Raw genomic sequence first — 21,212 nt, forward strand, 5'->3', positions numbered from 1 at the left:
AGCCACTCATGGAAAATGCAATACTCTCAGTTAGCCAAAGGGTTCAGTTCTCCAAGCATCTCCATGAATGTCAGCATGTCACACCCATTGGGCATTTCTGTGGTGGTGCGAAAGAACAGCCAATGGTCAAAGCCAGAACCCACATCAAGATCAAATCCCCAATGCCCTTGGCTCCTTGCATAAACCCCGCTACAGGGTTAAAACAGGGCTCCCTCCTAGGGCCTACCACATAGAAAATCTGCCTGTGTGGGGAATCACTGCTGAATACATCTTTCCTTGCACTCACCTTTATGCAAAACAAGAGCTATCTGGGAAATATTTTATCATCTGCAAAGATAAAGTACATATAGACTTTTAATTAGTTATATATGCTTTTATACTGTTATGCATCTCTAAATTGAACCCCTCACTCCCACCTCAGTGCCTCATACATAGCATTGCATCATCCACCCAGTGAAGCAAAGTACAGAAGTTTGCATTAAACACTCCAGGCCACAGTCCAATGTTCCTTCCTATGTAAGTGCCTTCCTAAGATATTCCAAAACAATCCAATGCAGAGATAAGTGCTTCTATTACACCACGAGCAGCATATAGATCAAGCCGCTACTTAAAGTAGAAAAAAAATAATTTTCTCCTAGTGTAGTTTAACTGCACAAAACTGTCACTGATTCCCCTAACTAAGTTCACGCTTAAACCAGTCTTCCCACTTTGGTCCAGGGCAGAGGATTCTGCTGAGCAAACACCAAAATAAAAAAGGACAGGAGTTAAAAATATGAGATAAATGTCACACTTGTCTTGTCATGGTTGGGGAGAGCTCTAAAAAAGCCCCACAGAATTCATTAGAAACACAGCTGACATGGTAGCAGGTCTGCAGGCAGCTGTCCCAACAGGCCTCTGATGTGAGTCTCTAGATCTTCCGAAGACGTGTTTTCAGTATGGGGCTTGGAGATCCCGGTGGATGCCAGGGCTGCGGTGAACTGGGCAATGTGTCCTGCAGGAGCAGAGGCTAGGCACCGAATCAACAGGCTCCCCCATGGCCTGTCTCTACCTGCAAGATGGCCTTCCAAAACCAAATGAGCTTTTTCTTGCAAATTCAGGTTACACTCTGATTTCTCCTCCAGAGACCCCATTCCAAGAGTGGCAAGAGCTGTTTCTCCAAGGACTAAAGAGAGTCACTTCCCCATGTAACCCCTGAGTCTGCAGACACATTAGTCTGTGGACACTGCTCAGGCCAGGCTGTGACTTTCTGAGATGTGTTTTGTAGGGAAAGAAACCTATCTTAGGAATGATGTCCGGTCACTTGTACGAGTCCCCAGGACAATCAAGCTGACTTACTTGTCAAGTCTTAAACATCACCTCTTCGGGGAAGCATTACGCAAGCCCCCACAGATTCAGTGAGCTCCCCCAGCTTGTTTGTTACCTTAACACCCCACACTTTTGTGCAACCCTTAACACAACTGTGATTACTTTCTCAGAGTTCCCAGCTAGTTCCATGTGGTGGGGGGCGGGGGCTGGGGGGCAGGGAAGAGGAACGTCTTGCTCTCCCCATTCCTAGGATCTCACCCAGCACCAGTGCTTAGCAGGTTCTTGGTAACGGCCTGTGGAATGAATGAAAGGTTCACAGGAAGACCAGCACATAAGCGGGCAGGCACACTGGAAGCTTTCATTAAAAAGGTTTTTACAGCAATTGACAAAGTAAAGTGAGGTGGCAGGTGCAGTCTTCCTATTTGCAAACGATGATGAAGTTAAAGCTCAGGAAACTGAGCCATGATTCCAGATCCCCAAGTTGATGAGCCCTAAACATGGGTGTTAGGCCCAGTCTTCAGACTCCCAGTCTGGGGCTCTCTTCCACTTTCCCCCTTAGCACTACCCCCAGTGACTGCCAGAACCCAACATACATGTCTCCTGCCTACACCACCCTACCATGCCCAGGACGGAGCTAAGCACATTGCAGGCACTTAAAAAAAAACTAGAATGCATGTGGATTTGATTCAAACTACCAAACCAAAAAGGCCTTGAGTTAAAAAGGACAGAAGAAAGGCTTTCAAATATCCCAAGCCAGCAAGTGACGCTGAGCAAGTTACTTAAACTGTCTGAGCCTCACCCACCCTTCGGAGCCACTGAAAGGATGAAATGAAACTGGCACATAAAGTTTCTAATGGAGTCACAGTCGACATTCTACAAATATAAGTCTCTTCCCACTCCTAATCCTGTTATTAAGCCACTGTAGCTCTTAAACATCTGAATTCCCATAACTCTCCCTGAAACACTGGAAATTCTGGATGTGTTCAGGGTTGTCACACAACTCAGAAATCTCCGCCCATTCAAAGTTGTCCACAAATGGAAGCATGCCAGGGCCTCTGCAAAGGGGGGTGCTCATATAGGTCCACCCTTTCAGGAGTTCTGTGTCCTCACCCCTCCTCCACTTTCCCACTGCCCTGGCTGCTGACTTTCGTGAGCAGTTTAACCAAACAAAGACGATGCCTTCCATACCCGGAGCCCTGTAACGGTGGCACCCGCACGTATCTCCTTTCAGGAAAGGCCATTGCGAGGCCAGAGAATTTGGCCACATTCCTGCTCATGCCCCACTCTTGAAATACCAGGCCTGCAGCCCCTGCAATTTAAGCAAAGAACATTTGGAACTAGAGAAAGCCCCACTTCACAAGGTGGTTAATAAACTACGTCATTTAGTGGAAGTCATTTTCCTAAGAAAATGAGGTTGGCAGAAACTGAAGATGGATTTGAGAAGGGTATGAGACTTGGATGAAAGACGGAGCACTGCAGGCAGCCAGGGAGCCCCCAAGCCGGAGTCCAGGCTGCAGCAGACTCCAGGCACAGACTCCCCAGTGGAGGCTGTGCCATCCTGCCCCAGCCGGGCAGAGGACCCAAGAGACCCGCTGAGAGTGGGAAGGAGGGAGCTGAGAAGGGACACGACTGGGTAAAGGCCTACTGGCAGAGCTTTCCCTAGAAGGCCATCTGCCAAAACAGCCAGCCATCCACATCCCCAAAGCGGAAATTCAGCCGCATTTGAGGATTGAAGAAGTAGGCAGAGAAGTAAGAGGCATCCAGCAGAAAGACCCTTAGCTCAGGGGATTTCAAGCTTGAAACAAGAACTTTGACTCTCATAGGCAGCCTCCCAATTGCACAGCTCCCTCTTTACCTAAGGGCATAAGCCAGAGCTGAAATGCATGTCAGGGTCAAGGACAAGTTCTGGGAAGCTGGGCGGGCCGGCAGGAAGCGCAGATACAGTCCCTAGGGAGGCAGAGGCGGCAACAGGGAGATTCCCGGGACTGGCCCATCCCAGACACACACAATGGGAGAAGCCAGTTGTCCCCTGGAGGCGCGCAACCACCGGCGCCCCCTCGGGCTGCCCAGCGCAGAAAGTTCCTTACCTGGTGGAGGCGGCTCCGGAGCCGACTTCTCCCTCTTGGGAGCTTTCTTGGGCTTGGTGGCCCTCTTGGGCGGCCTGGGCTCCTGCGGGCGCCGCTCCCACTCCTCCCCGGGCCCCGCAGGCAGCGGCGGAGAGAAGGTCTCGAGCTCGGGCTCCGGGCGCGCGTAGTAGGGCTCCCGGCTCCAGATCTCCTGCCCGTAATAATCAGGGTCCTCGAGGGCTGCGCCCTGGGCTCCGACCCCGGCCAGGGTCACTGCCAGGAGCACCAGGGCCAGCGCTGGGGTAGCGGTCCCCGGGCGGGACATGCCTGCTCCGCCCCGCGCCCAGGGCAGGGTCACGGTCACCGGGGGCGCCGGGCGGGCTGCGGGCGCAGAAGCTGGCGCGGGGCAAGGGCGCAGGGCACAGCAGAGCGGCGCGCTTGGGCGCGGGAGGCGGCCGGCTGGCTGCGCGTGTGACCGGCCCGCGGGGCTGGGCTGGGCTGGGCCGGGGCGGACAGGGGCGCGCAGAGGCGCGGGGCGGGCGCAGGGGGGCCGGCCCCGCCCTTCCTTCTTCCCTCCCTTTCCCGGCGACCCCTCCGAGGCCGGTCCTTGGAGGCAGGTGTTCCAAGCAGCCAAGCCCAAGAAAGCCCCCTTCCCCTCCCCCGCAGGCCAGCCAGCGTGGGGCCTGCTTCCCCAGAGACGCTAATGAGTTTCAATCTTAGAAGAAAACACTGAGGCCCGCTGTTCCATTCCTGTTTTACAGGTGGAGAAACGTGACCTGAGAGAAGAAAAGATTGGCCCAGGGTCCTAAAGTAAATCAGAGCCCAAGCAGCCTCCAGCTCTCAAACCGTGCCCCGTGTGCTGACCATTCCGCAGACGTGGACTTCCCACTAGCCATGCTACTGTTTCAGGAACTGGGAATGAGGAATTCCTGAGGTTCCCGGGGTTTCTGGGAGTAAAGTTCCCTGGGAGCAGGGCCTAGGGACCCTGGAGGAGCCCTCTCCCATCTGAGACTGTGATTCTGTTGGGTCTTGGGAAAGACAGTGACGTTACCCCAAGGTGGCCATCCAGGGGTCACAAGAGGGTTTGTGGTTCATCCAAGAGCAGGCTCTTGCCCAGAGGGTCCTTTGAGAAAGGGCCTCCTGCTTTGGACAACTCTGCATGGGTTCTTTATGCGGAGCCCAGGCCCATGGCCCTGCGGCTTCTGCTCTCCAGGCGGGGATGTGGGGAACCAGGGACTGCATCGTTTCCCTTGCTGCTGTAACAAACGATGACAAACTTAGTGGCTTCAAACAACACCTATCTCACAGCTCTGCAGGTGAGAAGGCTGATGCGAGTGTCACCAGGCCAAAATCAAGGGGTCAGCAGGACTGGTTTCTTAGGGGAGCCTCTGGCGAAAAGTCCACTTCCGGGCTCACTCAGGTATTGGCTGAATTCAGCTCCTTGCGGTAGTAGGACTGACGTGCAGTTCACTCGCTGGCTGTGGGCTGAGGCGCCTTTCCTCCTGCTGGCTGCCTGTGTTCCTCCTCATGTCTTCTGCAGGCTCCTCCAGGCCTCTCCCTGGTCCTCGCACGTGGGCCCGGCATCTCAGAGCCAGAGCTGGCACAGCTTCAAATCGCTTCCCTTCCTGCCACATCTTTCCGCCTTCCAGCTAGAGAAAATTCTGTGCTTTTAAGAGAGTGTGAATAGATGGGCCCACCCAAAAAATTCAGTATAGTCATCCTATCTTGAGTGGTGACCTTAACCACATCGGCAAAGTCCATTTTGCCATGTTCCCTAACTTTTTGCCAGGTTCCGTAACTATCTCTTGTTCTAGGTATTCAGGTGTAGATGTCTTTGGGAACCCATGGAGTGCGCTACAGGGACAGACTGACCCTCAAGCCTGCATTGGCCTGTCACCTTCCCAGTTCCTCTGGGTCTGTGATGTGATCCTACGATGCCACTGAGCTGAGTCAGGGCACCAGGGCAAGGCCTCACCATTGCCCTGGAGTGAGGACTTCCCTAGAGTGGGGGCTCCTGAGACCCCACAGTGGGCAGGGCTTGGACCAGGAAGGTTGTCATTCTCTTTCTGCGCAGGCCACTCCACCAGGCCATCTTTTAGGGCCAGTCTTCCAGGCTTCCAGTTTGAAGGCCAAAGCAGAATGACCAGAGGGAGAGGAGGAGGCTGCTGGTTGAGGCAGGGCCTGTCTGCAGGGACCAGGAGGCCTTGGTCCTGCCTGTCAAACCCCCAGGACGCTCTGGAATCCAGAGCCAGCAGAAGTCCTCAGGGTGAGAGGGCAGGAGGGTCCCCTTCCCCACCCACCACTCTTTGCTCCCCAACCCTTCCTGGATCCCCACCCACCCTCCTCCATGGCCTATCCCCAGGGCTCACTCCTGGGGACTGTTTTATCTGAAGCCAGGCACTCCAGACGACAACACAGTCTTTAGTGGTGAAACAGAAAGCGGCTCCAGCAGCAAGCAACACACCCAGCGTTCCAGCGAGCTGTGTGAAGCGCTAACAAGAGGCTGGCCTGGCATCCTGGCCAGAGGGACTGCAGAGGCAGCCCAGGCCAGGACGGTGCCCTGCACCACCTCCATCAGAACCCCCAGAGCTTGCTCAACAGCAGACCGACACCCAGGCGGCACCCCAGACCTTCAGAATCTCCTAAAGAGTGGGTTCAAGTACTAGCATATCTAAGAAGTTCCTCAGGTAATTCTGATAGCATCCAAATTTAAGATGAATCTTCTCCCTCTCATTTTACACAGGATCCTGAGGCCCAGATTTACCTGAGGACACACAGCAAGCTAGTGATGGCCAGGACTAACCCTGCTCTGCTGCCTTTAACCAATATTTAAAGTCAGGCCATATACATCCCAATGGCCCCAAGCCCATGAGTCCTGAAGACACTTTACCGCTTTTCAGCACCTCTTAGGTGAGTAACATAACATATACCCGCTCTGCAGTGTCTGGTAAGTGTCCAGAGAAGGCCCTACCCAAACATGCCTCTCAACATGTCCCTGGAATAAAGAAATGAGTCCCACTTATTACTGCTCTCCCTATCAATGCTTGCTTGTTTGTTTTCCCTGGAGAGACACATAATTAAAGCAAGTAGGACAAATAGAACAAGAATCGATTGCACTGATGCCAGTTCTCCCAACACAGAAGCCCACGGCACTGTTCCTGGAGCCTCCTTTGTCTACCTCTGGCTCCCTCTCTCTGGTGCTGCCCGTCCTGGAAAGGTGCAAGGCACAGTCAGAGCTCATGAAGTTTAGGAAGATAGGGCGGCAAAGCTGACCTCATTCTCTTGGTTTGCAAGCCTTATTCTTTCTCCCAACTCTCACCTATCTGCCTGGGAGGGTCCTGCGTTCTTCAGCTTCTCAGATGAAGACCTCCCTGGTCATCTTGGCCCCATCTCTCCTTCACCTTCTAATACATAGCAGTAAGTCCTGCTGCTCTCATGGCACACATTCTTTAATCTGCCTCTTCCTCTGTTCCCACTGCCCATCACTCAGCCCATGGTTCAGAGACCCATGGCAGATGATGGGAATCCGTGCTCAGCAGGTCTCGCTGTTTGGGCCTCTCTGATCTGCCGTCCACTCTTCCTTCAAGGCAACAAGCCATTCATTCTCCCTAAACACCCGTTAACAACCTTGCTCCCCGACCGAAGAATCTGCAGGGCTAACCAATCCCAAGTAAACCTAACCCCTCTAGGTAAGGTTCAAGGCTCACCAGCTCACTCAAACTTGGCTCTTTCCACTTGCCACTGGGCAACAACCATAAGACAGATTCTTTTTTTTTTCTTTTTTTTCTTTTTTTTTTTTTTTTTTTTTTGACAGAGTCTCACTTTGTCACCCTGGCTTGAGTGCAGTGGCACCATGTCGGCTCACGGCAACCTCTGTCTCCTGGCTTCAAGCAGTTCTCCTGCCACAGCCTCCCAAGTAGCTGGGATTACAGGTGCCTACCACCACACCCAGCTAATTTTTATATTTTTCATACAGACAGGGTTTCACCATGTTGGTCAGGCTGGTCTCGAACTTCTGACCTCAGGTGATCCACCCGCCTTGGCCTCCCAAAGTGCTGGGATTACAGGCGTGAGCCACCATGCCCGGCCAAGACAGACTCTTAATGGCCTCCTGCACAGCACTGATAAGCTCTGTGATTATTATAATATGCTAACTTTGCATCTTCCACAGAAACCAACAGAATATAAGAAACACAGAAAATTTCAATAACTCCTTCTGCATAACTAATCTTGCCTAGAGTCTTTCACGGCATCAGCCAAAGAATGTTTCTCTCTAGGACTTTTTTGTTCTCAATCTAATAATTTGTCTGTTTAACTCAGGACTGGAACCCTCAGGAGGGGCTGTGAGTCTCTCCGCGTAGTGTAAGTAGAACTCCAGAAAGCACTGATTCTCCCTGGATGTCAGCCGTGCTATAAACCAGACACACCAGTCGGGGGTAGTAATGGGGGCAAACTGGGAAACCAAAGTGGCAGTTCAGAATCCCCCCCAGTTTCTGAGTTCTTCAAATGGTGTTCTTTAAAGTCAACCATTGTTTGCCTCAATTGAGAATCTGCTAAGTGCACTTCTGCTAAGCAAAATAAGCCCATGTTTGTCCATTCATTCATCCCTTAGACAGGATTCTGCTAAGCCAGTTTCTGTTATACAACATAAATCCATACTTGTCTGATAATCCTCAAACACCTTACACGGCTAATAATTTTTCAAATATTTATGAGCCCCACAAAGGAGATTTATGTTAAGCTGCTTGGCAAGGAACAATAGAGTGTGCAGGTCTAGAGAACATTCTGTTGAAACAAATATTGTCAAGACATCAATATTTTTATAGCATTTTTCATTACGGACTTTTCACACCTGCTCATTTCCCTAATTATCCCTGAGACTCTTACACTTTCAGAGAGAATGAAAATGGAATTTTTTGAAAGATCATTAATTTGAAAAATTAGCTGCTATATAAAGAAAAATACATACTCAGGCACAGCCATTACTAAAAATATAGTCTTGAGATGGATGCACAGGGAGAGAGATACTAAGTTGTTATGGCAACTATCATTATAATTACAAAGCTGGAGGGTTTTTCTCGTTCATTACTGTGTTGAGATGTGATAGTTTAAATGGCAGTGTCCTTTGTGATGTCCTCAATCTCATTACTACATAATTACCCATTTCATATTTAATTTTCAGCATGTTTGTTCTTACTCCCATACCCTGTACATTTGGCATCTTTTGATAAGCCTTATTCTTAGTTCATGGGTCCCTCTTGCAACTTAATTCCTCTCCTCACTATTGCCTCCACTCTGTGGTTTCATTTTCAATTTGACCTTTGGGACACTTGCTTTGGCATGAGATATTCCATTTGTAAACAGTAAGATGCTGTTGCAAAAGCTCCTAAGAAACCACATGAACAGGCACCCAGGGAGACACTGAACGCAGGATACACCGGAGCCTGCTGAGCGGCCTTGGAGGCACTGTGTTTCTTGGCCACCTACTATGTGCAGGATCATTTACAGAAGTGATCACATTTGACCTTTGTAAGCTGGGTTCTCTGTTTGCACTGCCTCTGGTCTCCAGCCCTCTGGGCTTGCCTCTGTATCTGGGAGGCTGGGAGGCTGCCCCTTGTAAATTTGTCCCCTTGTCCTCTGGTTTCTGATTGGGATTGCCCAATAGAGATAGGAAGGTGAGGAGAAAGGGCTCTGGGTATTTCATCCCCTTCCCCCACCCCCACCCTTCCATGCCCCCCACCCACTTTGGCCCAGGGGTCCTAGTGGTGGCTGGATCCTTGGGCTTCCCTGAAACCCACTTCCTCAACTCTAGCCCTGCAGTCCTATGGAGGGACATGACTTCCTCACAGACTGAGCCTCCACTCATTAGTCTCGGGAGCCTCAATATCACTGTTTGTCTCCACATCCCTGACCACACCTCTGCACTTCATTTAATTCACCTGTCATCTGTGTGTGCCTCTGTTTCCTGCTGGGTCTCTGACTGATATCATCCTCCCAAAGCTTTGTGAGGGGAGAATAGCTCCCCCTATCTTACAGCTGAGGAATCTAGAAGTGGCTAAGTCTCTTGCTGAAGGTCATGTAATTAACAAATGATCGAGTCAGTTGAACCCCCAACTGTTTCACTCCAAAATTTCTGCCTCCATCACTCATGTTACAGTCTCAAGCCAAAGGGAACTGTGGCCCATCAGGCAACCCGAGATGAGCTTGGGCGGAGTGGCATAGTGTGTCAGGGTGCAGCATGGGCACACTGGGGTGGTCATGGGTGGGGGTGGCTTTAGCTTCCAGTAAATCTCAAGCCTCTCCATCCATCAGGAGTGCTCAAGATCTAAGTTCTTTAAATTTAGAAGTTCTGGAGCTGCTTCTGTGGTCACTTAATGCATGAAGCCCGAAAGACAAGAAGCAAAATCATCTTCATGGAGTTGAGATTTGCATGAAGAGGAACTCAGCGTGAGAAGCCAAGAAGCAAAGCAGAGGAAGATGCTGCCCCGGCCCCCGGCTCATCACTGCCACATGGGCAGGGCTGCCATGCTCTGGCCCAGAATCAGAAGCAAGGGTTTGGAAGGTCTGAGTTCAGGCATCCCTCTTTCTATCCTCCCAGTCAAGGTACGGGGCTCTCTGAAACAGCAGTGCCAAATGCAGTTGGTCCACACACTCTATGAGGCCCCAGGGCTGGGAGAGACCTCCCACACCTGTAGTCTGCTGTCGGGCAATCAGACTCCACGCCAGGGGTCTCACTGATGTTTCTGCAAGAGAACATCTCTGCCTCTCCCCACCACACAAGAGACACTGAACTTGGTAGGATAGAGACTAAAAATATAATAAACTAATGAACCTAATGACTTTGAAAATCTAATAAATTCCTAGAAAAATATAAAATGCTACAGCTGACACAAAAATAGAGAACCTGAACAGACCAATAATATTAAATCAATTAAAATGGGCGTCAAACAATCTTTATTAAAAAAAATTCTAAGCCAGGCGCAATGGCACACACCTGTAGTCCCAACTACTTGAGAGGCTGAGGCAAGAAGATCGCTTAAGCCCAGGAGTTCAAGGCTGTAGTACTCTATAATCACATCTGTGAATAGCCACTGAACTCCAGCCTGAGCAGCACAGTGAGACCTTATCTCAAAAAAATATATATATCTTTTTAATTAGCCAGGAGTGATGATGTGCACCTGTAGTCTTAGCTACTTGGGAGGCTGAGACAGGAGGATCACTTGAGCCCAGGAGCTTGAGGTTATAGTGAGCTATAATACACCACTGCAATCCAGCCTGGGCAACAGAGTGAGACTCTGTCTCCAAAAACAAACAAACAAACAAAAGTTCCAGATCATTTTTCAATTTTCCAGTTGAATTTACTAAACTTTTTTAAAAGCTGAAATTCCCACCTTATAGAAAGTTTTCTTTCTTTCTTTTTCTTTTTTAAGATGGAGTTTCGCTCTTGTCGCCCAGGCTGGAGTGCAATGGCACGATCTTGCCTCACTGCAACATCAACCTCTCAGGTTCAAACAATTCTCCTGCCTCAGCCTCCCAAGTAGCTGGGATTATAGGCATGCACCACCATGCCCAGCTAAGTTTTTGTATTTTTTCATAGCGCAGATGGGGGTTCACCACGTTGCCCAGGCTGGTCTCGAACTCCTGACCTCAGGTGATCTGCCTGCCTCAGCCTCCCAAAGTGCTGGGATTACAGGCACCCGCCACCGCACCCGGCCTGAAAGTTTCCTTTTACAGAAAATAGAAAAAGAGGGAAATCTACTTAGATAATTTTATTATGCTAATGTAATCTTAATTCTAAAACCAGAGAATGAAATTATTAGAAAAGAATATAAAAGGCTCATTTCGTTATATAGACACTAAAAATCTTAAGTCAAATATTAGCTAACTGAATCCAATAGCTTATTTTTTAAAATACATAAAGTATACATAAAATCCATAAATTATACATAAAATCCATAAAGTATAATTAAGTAGGCTTTATTTCAGGAATACAGAAATGGTTCAATGGTAGAAAAATCGACCTATGTAATTTATCGTGTCAACAGATCAAAAGGAAAAGGTTGTATGATTATCTAAATCAATGAATTATCTGAATTAGAAAAGCAGTTCATAATATACAGCATCTGTTTAAAGATGTCCTGAACAATGGAAAGATACCTATGCTCTTGCATGGGCAACTTGGGATCAAAGATTCAATTCTTGCTGGGCATGGTGGCTCATGCCTCTAACCCCAGCACTTTGCGAGGCCGAGGTGAGAGGATCACTTAAGCCCAGAAATTTGAGACCAGCCTGGACAACGCAGTGAGACCCTGGGAGGAAGGGGAAGGAAGGGAAGACTGAGAATGTTACACATCAAGGTGGATTCTTTACCATGTGACCTTGGGAAACTTGGCTCTCATATGGAAAAAACTAAAACTGGATCCTTACCACACACGAAAGTGGACTCCAAATGGATTAAAAAACTAAATGTGAAAAGTGAAACCATAACAATAATAGAAAGTGTATAAACATATCTTTGTAACCTAGAGATGAGGAAAAACTTGTTAAATAAAAACCTCAGAAGCACAAACCATAAGGCAAAAATAAGAAGAGGAGGAATTAATGAGGTTACTTATATCAAGATAAAAGATTAATGTTCTACAAAGGACACACTGAACAAAATGAACAGGCAGATAACATATTGGGAGACAATACCTGCAATGTCTAACAAAAAAAATTTTTTTTGGAGACGGAGTCTCGCCCTGTCACCCAGGCTGAAGTGTAGTGACGTGATCTTGGCTCTCTGCAAACTCTGCCTCCCAGGTTCAAGCAATTCTCCTGCCTCAGCTTCCCTAGTAGTTGGGATTACAGGAACCTGCCACCATGCCCAGAAAATTTTTGTATTTTTAGTAGGGAAGGGGTTTCACCATGTTGGCCAGGCTGGTCTTAATCTTCTGGGCTCAAGTGATCTGCCTGCTTTGGCCTCCCAAAGTGCTGGGATTACAGGCATGAGCCACCACGCCTGGCCAAAAAATTAATATCCATGATACATAAGGAAGAAAGGGCGGACTCCTGATAGGAAAATGGGCAAAAGCTATGAACAGGCTATTTACAGAAGTGAAAACTCAAAAGGCTAACTACATATAAAGAAATGCTCAAAGCCATTAGTAACCAGAGAAATGCAAATTTAAATGAAGAGGTGTCATCTGACAACTATTAGCTGGGCAAAAATCAGAGAGCTGGATGGTGTCAAGTGTTGATGACGGTGTGGAGTTTTGGGGCACCCCAGCACTGCTGGTGAGGATTCAGATGGGTACCACCCACTGGGAGAGCAGACGCATGCTCCTGACATTCCCAAACATGTGTCTGTCATAATTAAAGGTTTATATAAAAGACATAAAAGATTATGAGTCCAATGAAAATAAATTTAAAATAAGTTTAGCTGAAAAGCATTTTTTATTAAAATGCTTGTGCCAATAGAGAATATTACATTAACTCAGGACACAAGTCACTGAAACAATTTCTACATGTTACCGTTTGAAAAAGTAAGACTTGGCAAAACCAACCTAACAGATTTTTTTTTCTTTTCTACTGAATTGAATGAATCGATCCTTTTTTATGGCATTTCATTCTAGAGTCAGCCCACACTAATTATCTGGTAAAGAGGATTAACATTTTATTCTTTTATAATTTTCTGATTGCTTTTAGGAAGAGACATAAAGAATAAGCAAACAAATGCAATGTATTAAAAGCATTTCTAATATGTCCTTTTGCCCTCCAGGGACTTTGTAATATAAATACCCTTACACAGTAAGAAAAATAGATCACTAATTCTCAAGCTGCAATTACCTGAGATCATAATACTGAACATACATCAAAGCAGAGGCATAGTAGTTTAAATCCAATTGAATTACATCTACCCTTAGGGGCACAATCAGGAAATACAATTTTAAAAAGAGAGAGCTTTGGCATCGTTCCTTCACACCTGGGCTTCACTGACTAGCTCCAGTTGTAAATCACATGCTGAGACCCAGTGTTTTTCCAGGGCTGAGGCATAACAGAGAAGGAGCTCCTGGGAGCAGCAAACACCTTGTTTTCCTTCCATCCAAGCAAGTTTGTGTGTGTGTGTGTGTGTGTGTGTGTGTGTGTGTGTGTGTGTGTTTTCCCCTATGCAAATGAAGGCAAGTTTTCACATTGCATTATAAGCTTGGTAGCTAAGAAACCATTTCTGTTTCTGAGAAGGTTAACTTTCAAGTTCAAATATCTGATGCTTTGGGTATTGTGAACAAATGTGAACCTGAAAGAGCCAATCTTTCAAGATGGATCACCACTGGCTAACTGAGCCAAAATTTAAAATACAGTCAAGTGGCCATTTGCTGAGTAGAGAGGTCACACACATAACTCTGAGTTCCTGAAAAACAATACCTCTGTTTAACTTCGGGACTTTCACAGAGCACCTGAACCAACCAATCAGAGTTCACCTGCTTGTGCCAATCAGAGACCAGCTGTATCAACCAATCAAGGCTCAGCTGTATTGACCAATCAGGGCTCAGTTATATTGACCAATCAGAACTCAGCTGTGTCATCACTCGGAGGTAAGCGGGGCTGAATTTTTCATTTGCCTGAATTGCAAACTGTTCACTGGAATGAAGTCTCTTTCCTCCGAACTGTTTTCCAGAGAACTTTTGTGCAGAGTATCCCACTGAAGTAACCACTGTCGCAACCTGGATAAAATGTTTAAATGTTTTTCAAACCTAAGCTTACAAACTATAGTGGATAAAATAGCATTTTTGCTCTTATTGGGGGTGAAGGGTGTCAAATATGGAAGTGTTTAAATTTTATATTTCAGTATATAAAGAGCTTCTAAATGGGGTTTTCTGAACTTGGAGTGGGCCAGGCGAGGTCATGCAGCTCACAGGCAGGTTACCCAGGGGAGTAATCTGACATGGGCCTGAGCGCCTCCCATTCTGACTCTTCCCACGCTAGCTGGAAAGCCTAGAGCAGGCTGACCTCACCAACTTAGCCTTAGTTTACACATCTGCAGAGTGGGGGAATCCTGTCCTAACCTGATAGAGAATTATGGTGAGAATTTAATAAAATAATGCATGTAACAGCTTAGAGTAAATCTTGGCATATAGTGTCTTAGTCCATTAGGGCTGCTATAACAGAATACTATAGACGGGGGCCTATAAACAACAGTAATTCATTTCTCACAGTTCCGGAGGCTGGAAGTCCCAAGAGCAAGATACTGGCAGATTCGGAGTCTGGTGAGGGCCCATTTCACAGATGGCAGCTCCTCGCTGCATCCTCATATGCTGGAAGGGGCACACAAGCACCCTTGGGCCTCTTTATAAGGGCACTGATCCCATTCATGCGGGCTCCTCCCTCATGACTTAATCACCTCCCCCAAAGCTCCATCTAATATCATTGCCTTGGGGTTGGGGATTTCAACATATGAATTTGACAGGGGAAACACAAACATTCAGACCGCGACACAGAGTGAACACTCAGGAAAGGCTCGCGGCTGTTGTCATTCTTCATGATGATTGTCTTAGCCTGTCAGTGTAAAGCACATGCTCATTACTGCCTGGAGAACAAAGGCCACCTCCCCACCGTGCCCTTTCATTCTTCCCTTGTCAGTGCCTTGCCTTTGCAGACATAGTTGCCACCACCTGGAGTACCCTCTGGCACTTCCCTTCACAGCAAACACCTACTTGCACATCGAAGCCCAACTCTAACGCCTCCTCCTGGGGGAGCCCTCCATGATTGCAGCGGGTGAGGTCCTGTGTCCCTGTTCCCAGGCTCCCACAGCTCCCCTAATGTGGCTTTCCCAGCCCTCATGACCTTGTCCTAGGCATAGGGCACAGAGGACCTTGTCCTGGCCATAGGACACAGAGTACCTTGTCCTGGGCCTAGGCCACAGAGGGATCCCTGCTACCCAATTACCTCCTCCAGGGCTGTTGGCATCCCTCTTGCATGCAGAAGGTGCTCAGTAAATGCTGGTTGGAGTTGGATGGCTGGATGCAAAGACCTTAAGAGCAGGATGCAAAGTCTGATTCCTCTCTGCATCCTCAGAGCCTATCCCAGTGCTTGGCACACAGTAGGTGCTCAATAAACAATCATGCACTGAAATTGACTTTCAAAATGCACATGGCCTGGACTGCATTTCCTCTTGAGTGTCCTCTCCTGGCCTCCTGGCTCAGCTGAGATCTGGGGTACCCACCTGTCCTGTCCCGCCACCTTTGCCATCTCCAGCCAGTCCTTAGGTCCCTGCCTTAATATGGGTGAAGTCCTCTCAGGGATAGGGGAAGAGGACTCTCATTCCCATGAGACCAGGGCATGGTTCTTCCTCATCTCACACTGGTGGAGTCCTGAGGCTGGGAGGCCAAGGGACTTTGTAATGTGCAGAGAGCATTCCCCAGTTGGCACAGTCACTTGAAATTTTACAACAGATCTCGTTCTCAAAGGAGGAAAAAGTGGAGCCAAACCAATTAACTTTTTAAACAGCTGAGAGATTCAAATGAAGCAAGGTTTGCCAGGCGTAGCTGTAACCTGACAGAAATAGGAGATGTGCTGGGGGAAGCTCTCAGACTCTGGCGTGGGTTTGCCTGGCCAAGACATGAGCCCCTCCTGCCAGCCCCCACACGGCCCCAGCTGTGTGAGTTCACCCCATCTCCTCCAATGCAACGCTCAGCTCCCTCTTTGGAGAAAAACATAGATGAGCCTTAGAAAGTGAAATGAAAAGAGCCTAACAATTAAAACCAGTATACCATTTTTTGTTCAAACAAAACCTTCCCAGTTATTTATTACATAAATAAAATATCTTTTATCTTTTCTATATCAGCTTAAATGTTACTTCCTCGGAGACCCCTTTCTGGAAAATTCTGTCTCAATCAGGACTAACTCTTCCTGCCTCTTTCCTGGCTCTGCAGCCTGTTCTTTCCCTTCGGGGCAGACACTCCACTGGGCCACTTCTTTCCGATTGTGCTGATGTTTGAGTAAGGGACACGCAGGCGCAGTGGGTAAGAGGGTGGGCCCTGCAGGTTCTGGCTCAGCTGCCCACAGCTATGTCCTGGAGCAGTCACCTCACCTCTCTGTGCCTTGGGGTCTTCATCTGGAAAGTGGGTATAACAATCGTTCCCACCTCACCGACCAGTTGTGGGGAGTAAACAGGTTAACACATGCAGAGTGTTTGGATCAGGGCCTCGACGTCAGGGGGCCAAATTATATTATTCCCATCATCACTGTCAGCTTCCTAAGTGTTTTATTACTGAGCTATGACCGTGTCTAGCACAATGCTTGGCATGGGGCGAGGGTTCAGTAAAGGTTGCCATAGAGCTCTCCCAAACCCTGGTCTGAACGTGTGTCTCCAAACTCCCTGTCACTTCTGCTATTCATGAATCTCCTTTTCTGGCCAAGTTCAGTATCACACTCTTGTGCATTCACACATCCAGCACTCCTACCTTCTCATCAGGCATTCCCCTCTGCCAGCACCCATCTACCACTTCCTTCTAGTTATGTCAGCCCCTCCCTCATTTCCCCAACCTCTGTGACCTCCCCATCCCACCCACCCACCTGGAGGGCCCGAGCTCTGCATCACACCTGCATCCTAGTGAGGGATCAGCCTCCTGTGCTCTGTGAAGCACAAGTCCGTGAGGTTCACCCTGTGACAGGAGCTGGGTCAGGCAGGTGGCAGGTAGCAGGTGTGCTGGAAAATGCGTGAAGACAAGGACAGAGCAGGACTTTCCACCTGTTACCAGGCGCTTGCATTCCAAGTGGAGCTTCCCTGAGTGAGGCTATTTCTGCAGTCAAATGCTCTACCGCTGAGCTATACCCCCAAGTGAGGCTATTTCTAATGTGGGCCTTTCAGCAAGGAAAAAGAGGAAATGAAGAGAAAAGAATGAACCCCGCCACACAGCCTGGGAGCCGGGCCATTTGCAGGCAGTGCTTCCAGAATGAAAGGCCTTCCGCGAGCAGCTTGACTGCCCTGCTTGGATTCTGTGCTGGGATGGTGTGACCTTCTGATAAAGCCATGGTCTCAGATAGTGCAGCACAGGGACAGAGCACTGGACAAGGAGCCACTTTGGCTCTCGGGATGCCACTCTCTTTGCCTGAGGCTTTCAAGGCCTCAGCTGTCCCATCTGCCAATCCGGGCATTGGACAGATGACCCTGCCGTTTGAGCCCCTGACTTTTCTGATAAAGCTTGACCACAGCTCTGAAGCTTTCAGTCCAGGGCAGAGGATGCCAATGACCGAGGGATGGCCCAACCCAGCACAAGAGATTCCAGACCTCCTCTGGCCCCTGGGTCTAGGCTGCCTCCCACCTAATGTGACCGTACATTCCCACTGCTCCTTCCCACGCAGCTTCTCCCTATTCACGAAGCCGTCTCTGTGATGCCAGGGTCAGACCATCCTGGGGGTCCCCTCCCAGCCCTCTTGCCTGTAGTTTCTTCTGTTTCTCGCCTTCCTGCCTCCCACCCCACCCTCACCCAGTCATCCTCCATCTCCTGCGTTCTGACTCCTCACCCAGAAACGCTGCCTTTGCCATCTCCCCCTCAGGAGACACGCTCAAGCCCTGTGGTTTTTCCAGGCCACCTTGAGGCTGATGTCCAGAGCCCGAGCTCTGGCTCTCGGGTTCTATGTGAACAGGCCAAGCCCCACCTCCCGACGGTCTGTCCACTCTTCCTTCGGCCAGTGACGCCCAGGTACTGAAGTGGGGGCAGGTCATCCACATGGCCCGCACCTTTGCTCTCACATCCCACTGCCAGGCATAGCCTTGCCAGCTCCAGAAAGCCTCCCCCTGTCTGCTCCTGCACCCATCTCCCACTCCGGATCCCCAAGTCCATGCATTTCATCCCAGAAGTCCTCAGAAATGTGACCGAAGGGCAACATGGGCACACTACAGGCTAACCTCGTTCTTTAACCTTACTGAGCCTCTGTGTCCTGATCTATAAAATGAGACACTAATGTCTACCTAGAAGAGAGATGGAACCAAGGTGCTTCACAAAATGAAACGCTACGTAAATGTCAGGCCCAATGCTGAGTCAAGGCCAGCTCACTCCTCCTCCTCACCCACAGTAGCCTCCTCACTCTCATAGATACAGCACCTTTCTTCCAGACAGCTACGGGATCTTAATGGATCTGCCAAATCACTGTTCCCCAAACACCCTTGCTATAAATCATGTCAGCTTCACTCAGCTGCCTCTGAGGTTCTGAGCATGTGTGCATGATATTGGAATAAAATTTAAATTAAATCCAGAAGCTGCAACACTTCATAAAACTTAAACTGCAAATTCCTCACTGTGGAATGCCAAACTGAAAAAGTAATCAGAAATAAATACTTCATTTCGCCTCATGTGCCCTGAAGACCCCCAAACTTGGCTCCAAAAGATCTGGGGCCTTCCAAAGACAGGAAATCTATGCAAGAAACTTCTCACATGGCCTCAGGATTCAAGCCATCCCCATGCACTTTTAGGAGAGAAAGCAGAGTCCCAAACCAAGGACCAGGATGGAAAGCAACCCCCAAATTGTGCCGGATCAAGAGATTAGGGAGGATGTCTTTGCTGCTTTCCAGGTGGATGTCTGGCTGCCTCCCTTGCAATAACCAGCTCTTGTCTTCTTCAGGTGAAATTTCCAACTGCCCAGAAGCTGCCTGGTGGATGCCTGCTACCCATCTGAAGTTCACCTAAAGGATTTACGAGTTTCTGCCCTACAAGTTTGATGCAAAGTTCATGCTGAGAGGCACCTTAGGAAACACGAAGCACGGTGTGTGCATGTGTGTTCTAAATAGTAGAGTTTCCAGGAGGGCTTCCATCAGCACCGAGTGTTTACGAGAGACTGCCACAGCGGTGTGGTAGACATACCTGCTCCTGCTGCCAACACGATTTGCTAGTGTAATTAACATTCAGGCTGAAACTGGAGAAGGCAGTTCAACTCACAAAGACTATTTTTAGAGACCTCTTAATGGAAAACTCTGTTCCTTTCAAACCACACAGCTTTCTGTAATTAGAAGAGAGACTATTATTCAAGTCAGATTTTACTTTTTCTCACATTTCTGTGCTTTATGCAATGTTATCCTAAAACTGCATTTACTTGGGGAGGACAACACACAGAGAAGCGGCATCGCTGGGCGGGGCCCTCGCAGCGTCCTTACCCACCCTCCCGCAGCACAGGGAGGATGTGGTCACCAGCACAATCCCCCACCCCCACCCCAAGTCCCACCCTGACCCTACTGGGGATCACTTAGGTGACACGGCACCATCCTGTGCATTTTTCTCTTAGAAACTGGCTACAGGTTCCCCAAAAGCTCTGACATTTCTGGGGGATAGTTTAAAATGTGTCTTCTATCATTCCCATTACAGAAACATAGATGCCCCCCCTCCCACAAGTTCATTCATGTGCCCATCAAATAGCATCTCCTTGGTGCCAAGAAAGGGACTGGACCCCGCAAGGCGCCCACCCAGATGTACACTGAAGGCACCATCCCTGCCTTCATGGAGCTTATTTTCTAGTGTGGGGACTAGGGGGATTGTGCTAAACCAGGCAATACATCAGCAAAACATACAGAGCTTTTGATAAACATTTTAAAAAGAAAAAAGGAAGAGAGGGGAAGCAGGAGGAAGGAAGGGAGGGGGAGGAAAGGAAAAGGGGAAGAAGGAAATGAAAGAAGTGAGAAAGGAAGGGAGGAAGCAAGGACTCAATAGGAGACTTTAAACAGGGGAGAGATGTGACAAGGACCATATTCAGGATTGGGTAGAAAGTGGGGATGCTGGTAGACCAGTCTGGGGCTTGTGCAGGGGAGGGATAGTGGTGACTTGGGATGGGACAGGGACTGTGGAGAAGGGAAGAAGGGGACAGATTCAAGTCCACTGTTAGGGGTAGCACCAGTAGGACGTCCTGGAGTGGCCGCAGGTGGGAAGGAGAGAGGAGGAAAGGATGGGGTGGGGGCTTGTGCAGGGGACTTCTGCTGGAGAAAGACTAGGAAGTGAGAACACTTAGATTCCAAAGGCTACAGCTTGAGCAGCAGCTATTGACAAGAGACTCTCTGCTAAGGCCAAATGCAGAAACCATCCTGTTTGCAGATAAGCCAGATCACCTGCAAGTTTCTTCATTCGATCACTCAATCAGAAAATACTGGCTGAGCTCATGCCAGAGCCAGACCCCGGGCAGGTTCTGGGAAGTCGGCCACAAGGACTCAATCTGCAGCCTAGTAGGGAGACAGACATGCAGATGAGGACCACCCTCCCAGGAGGTCAAGGCTACCATGGAGGGCTCGGGGCAAGGAGACAGGTGTGGGGAGAGGGGCCACCTGGTCCATCTGCTTGGGGTACCAGGAATGGCTGCACAGGGACCAGACAACTGAGCAGAGTTCTCCAGAACAGCTGGAGGTGGGCAGGATCTATCCATGTGTTCAAGTTCACTGCAGCTTTAAACAGCCATGAGGTTTTTAATGGCAGAAGGGCACTGGAGACCTTCTGCAGTGAAGAAAATATTCCATATCATGGTTCAGGTACACATTATACATTTGTTAAATGTACAATCTATAAATCAGCAGTGTACAATCAACAAACTGTACACTTTACATCTAATTCACTCTATGTAAATTTTGCTAACAGTACCTTATATCTTCAATTAAAAAAAAAGATTTAAAGCTGTAAACACAAGCCAGGAGGCTCATTGTTAACTCTCACTAAATTTAAGTGAATACTTTGTAATAACCTAATGCATTGACTTGACCTTTTAAGAGGCAATTCTGCCCTTTTGAAGCTGTAGGTTCAAGCTTTTGGCTGGGCACAGGCACACTCTGCCATCAACCTCAGGCATAGCGGATCCCACACAAGACAGTATAAGAGCAGGATTCGT

The 21,212-nt window shown here is 48.7% G+C and overlaps 1 protein-coding gene and 1 long non-coding RNA gene across 5 annotated transcripts in view; one reads left to right on the top strand and one right to left on the bottom strand.

The window, feature by feature from the left end:
• Positions 1-21,212, bottom strand: part of CPXM2 (carboxypeptidase X, M14 family member 2) — a 198,466-nt gene that overhangs the window by 142,325 nt on the left and 34,929 nt on the right. For 3 of the 4 annotated variants that reach the window (NM_198148.3, XM_011539283.3, XM_005269528.4), the window contains exon 1: positions 3,393-3,844. The exons of the other annotated variant lie outside the window; for it this stretch is intronic. In NM_198148.3, coding sequence (NP_937791.2) covers positions 3,393-3,696 — 304 coding nt within the window. In that variant the 5' untranslated portion in view covers positions 3,697-3,844. Of the gene's footprint in view, positions 1-3,392; positions 3,845-21,212 lie in introns of those variants that run through there. 4 annotated transcript variants of the gene reach the window in all.
• On the top strand, positions 5,741-21,004 carry LOC105378534 (uncharacterized). Its single transcript, XR_001747622.2, has 3 exons — positions 5,741-6,020; positions 6,115-6,281; positions 18,975-21,004. It is a non-coding gene; the product is annotated as an uncharacterized LOC105378534 (long non-coding RNA).

This window comes from Homo sapiens, chromosome 10 (genome assembly GCF_000001405.40).
Source record: "Homo sapiens chromosome 10, GRCh38.p14 Primary Assembly".
NCBI lineage: Eukaryota > Metazoa > Chordata > Mammalia > Primates > Hominidae > Homo > Homo sapiens.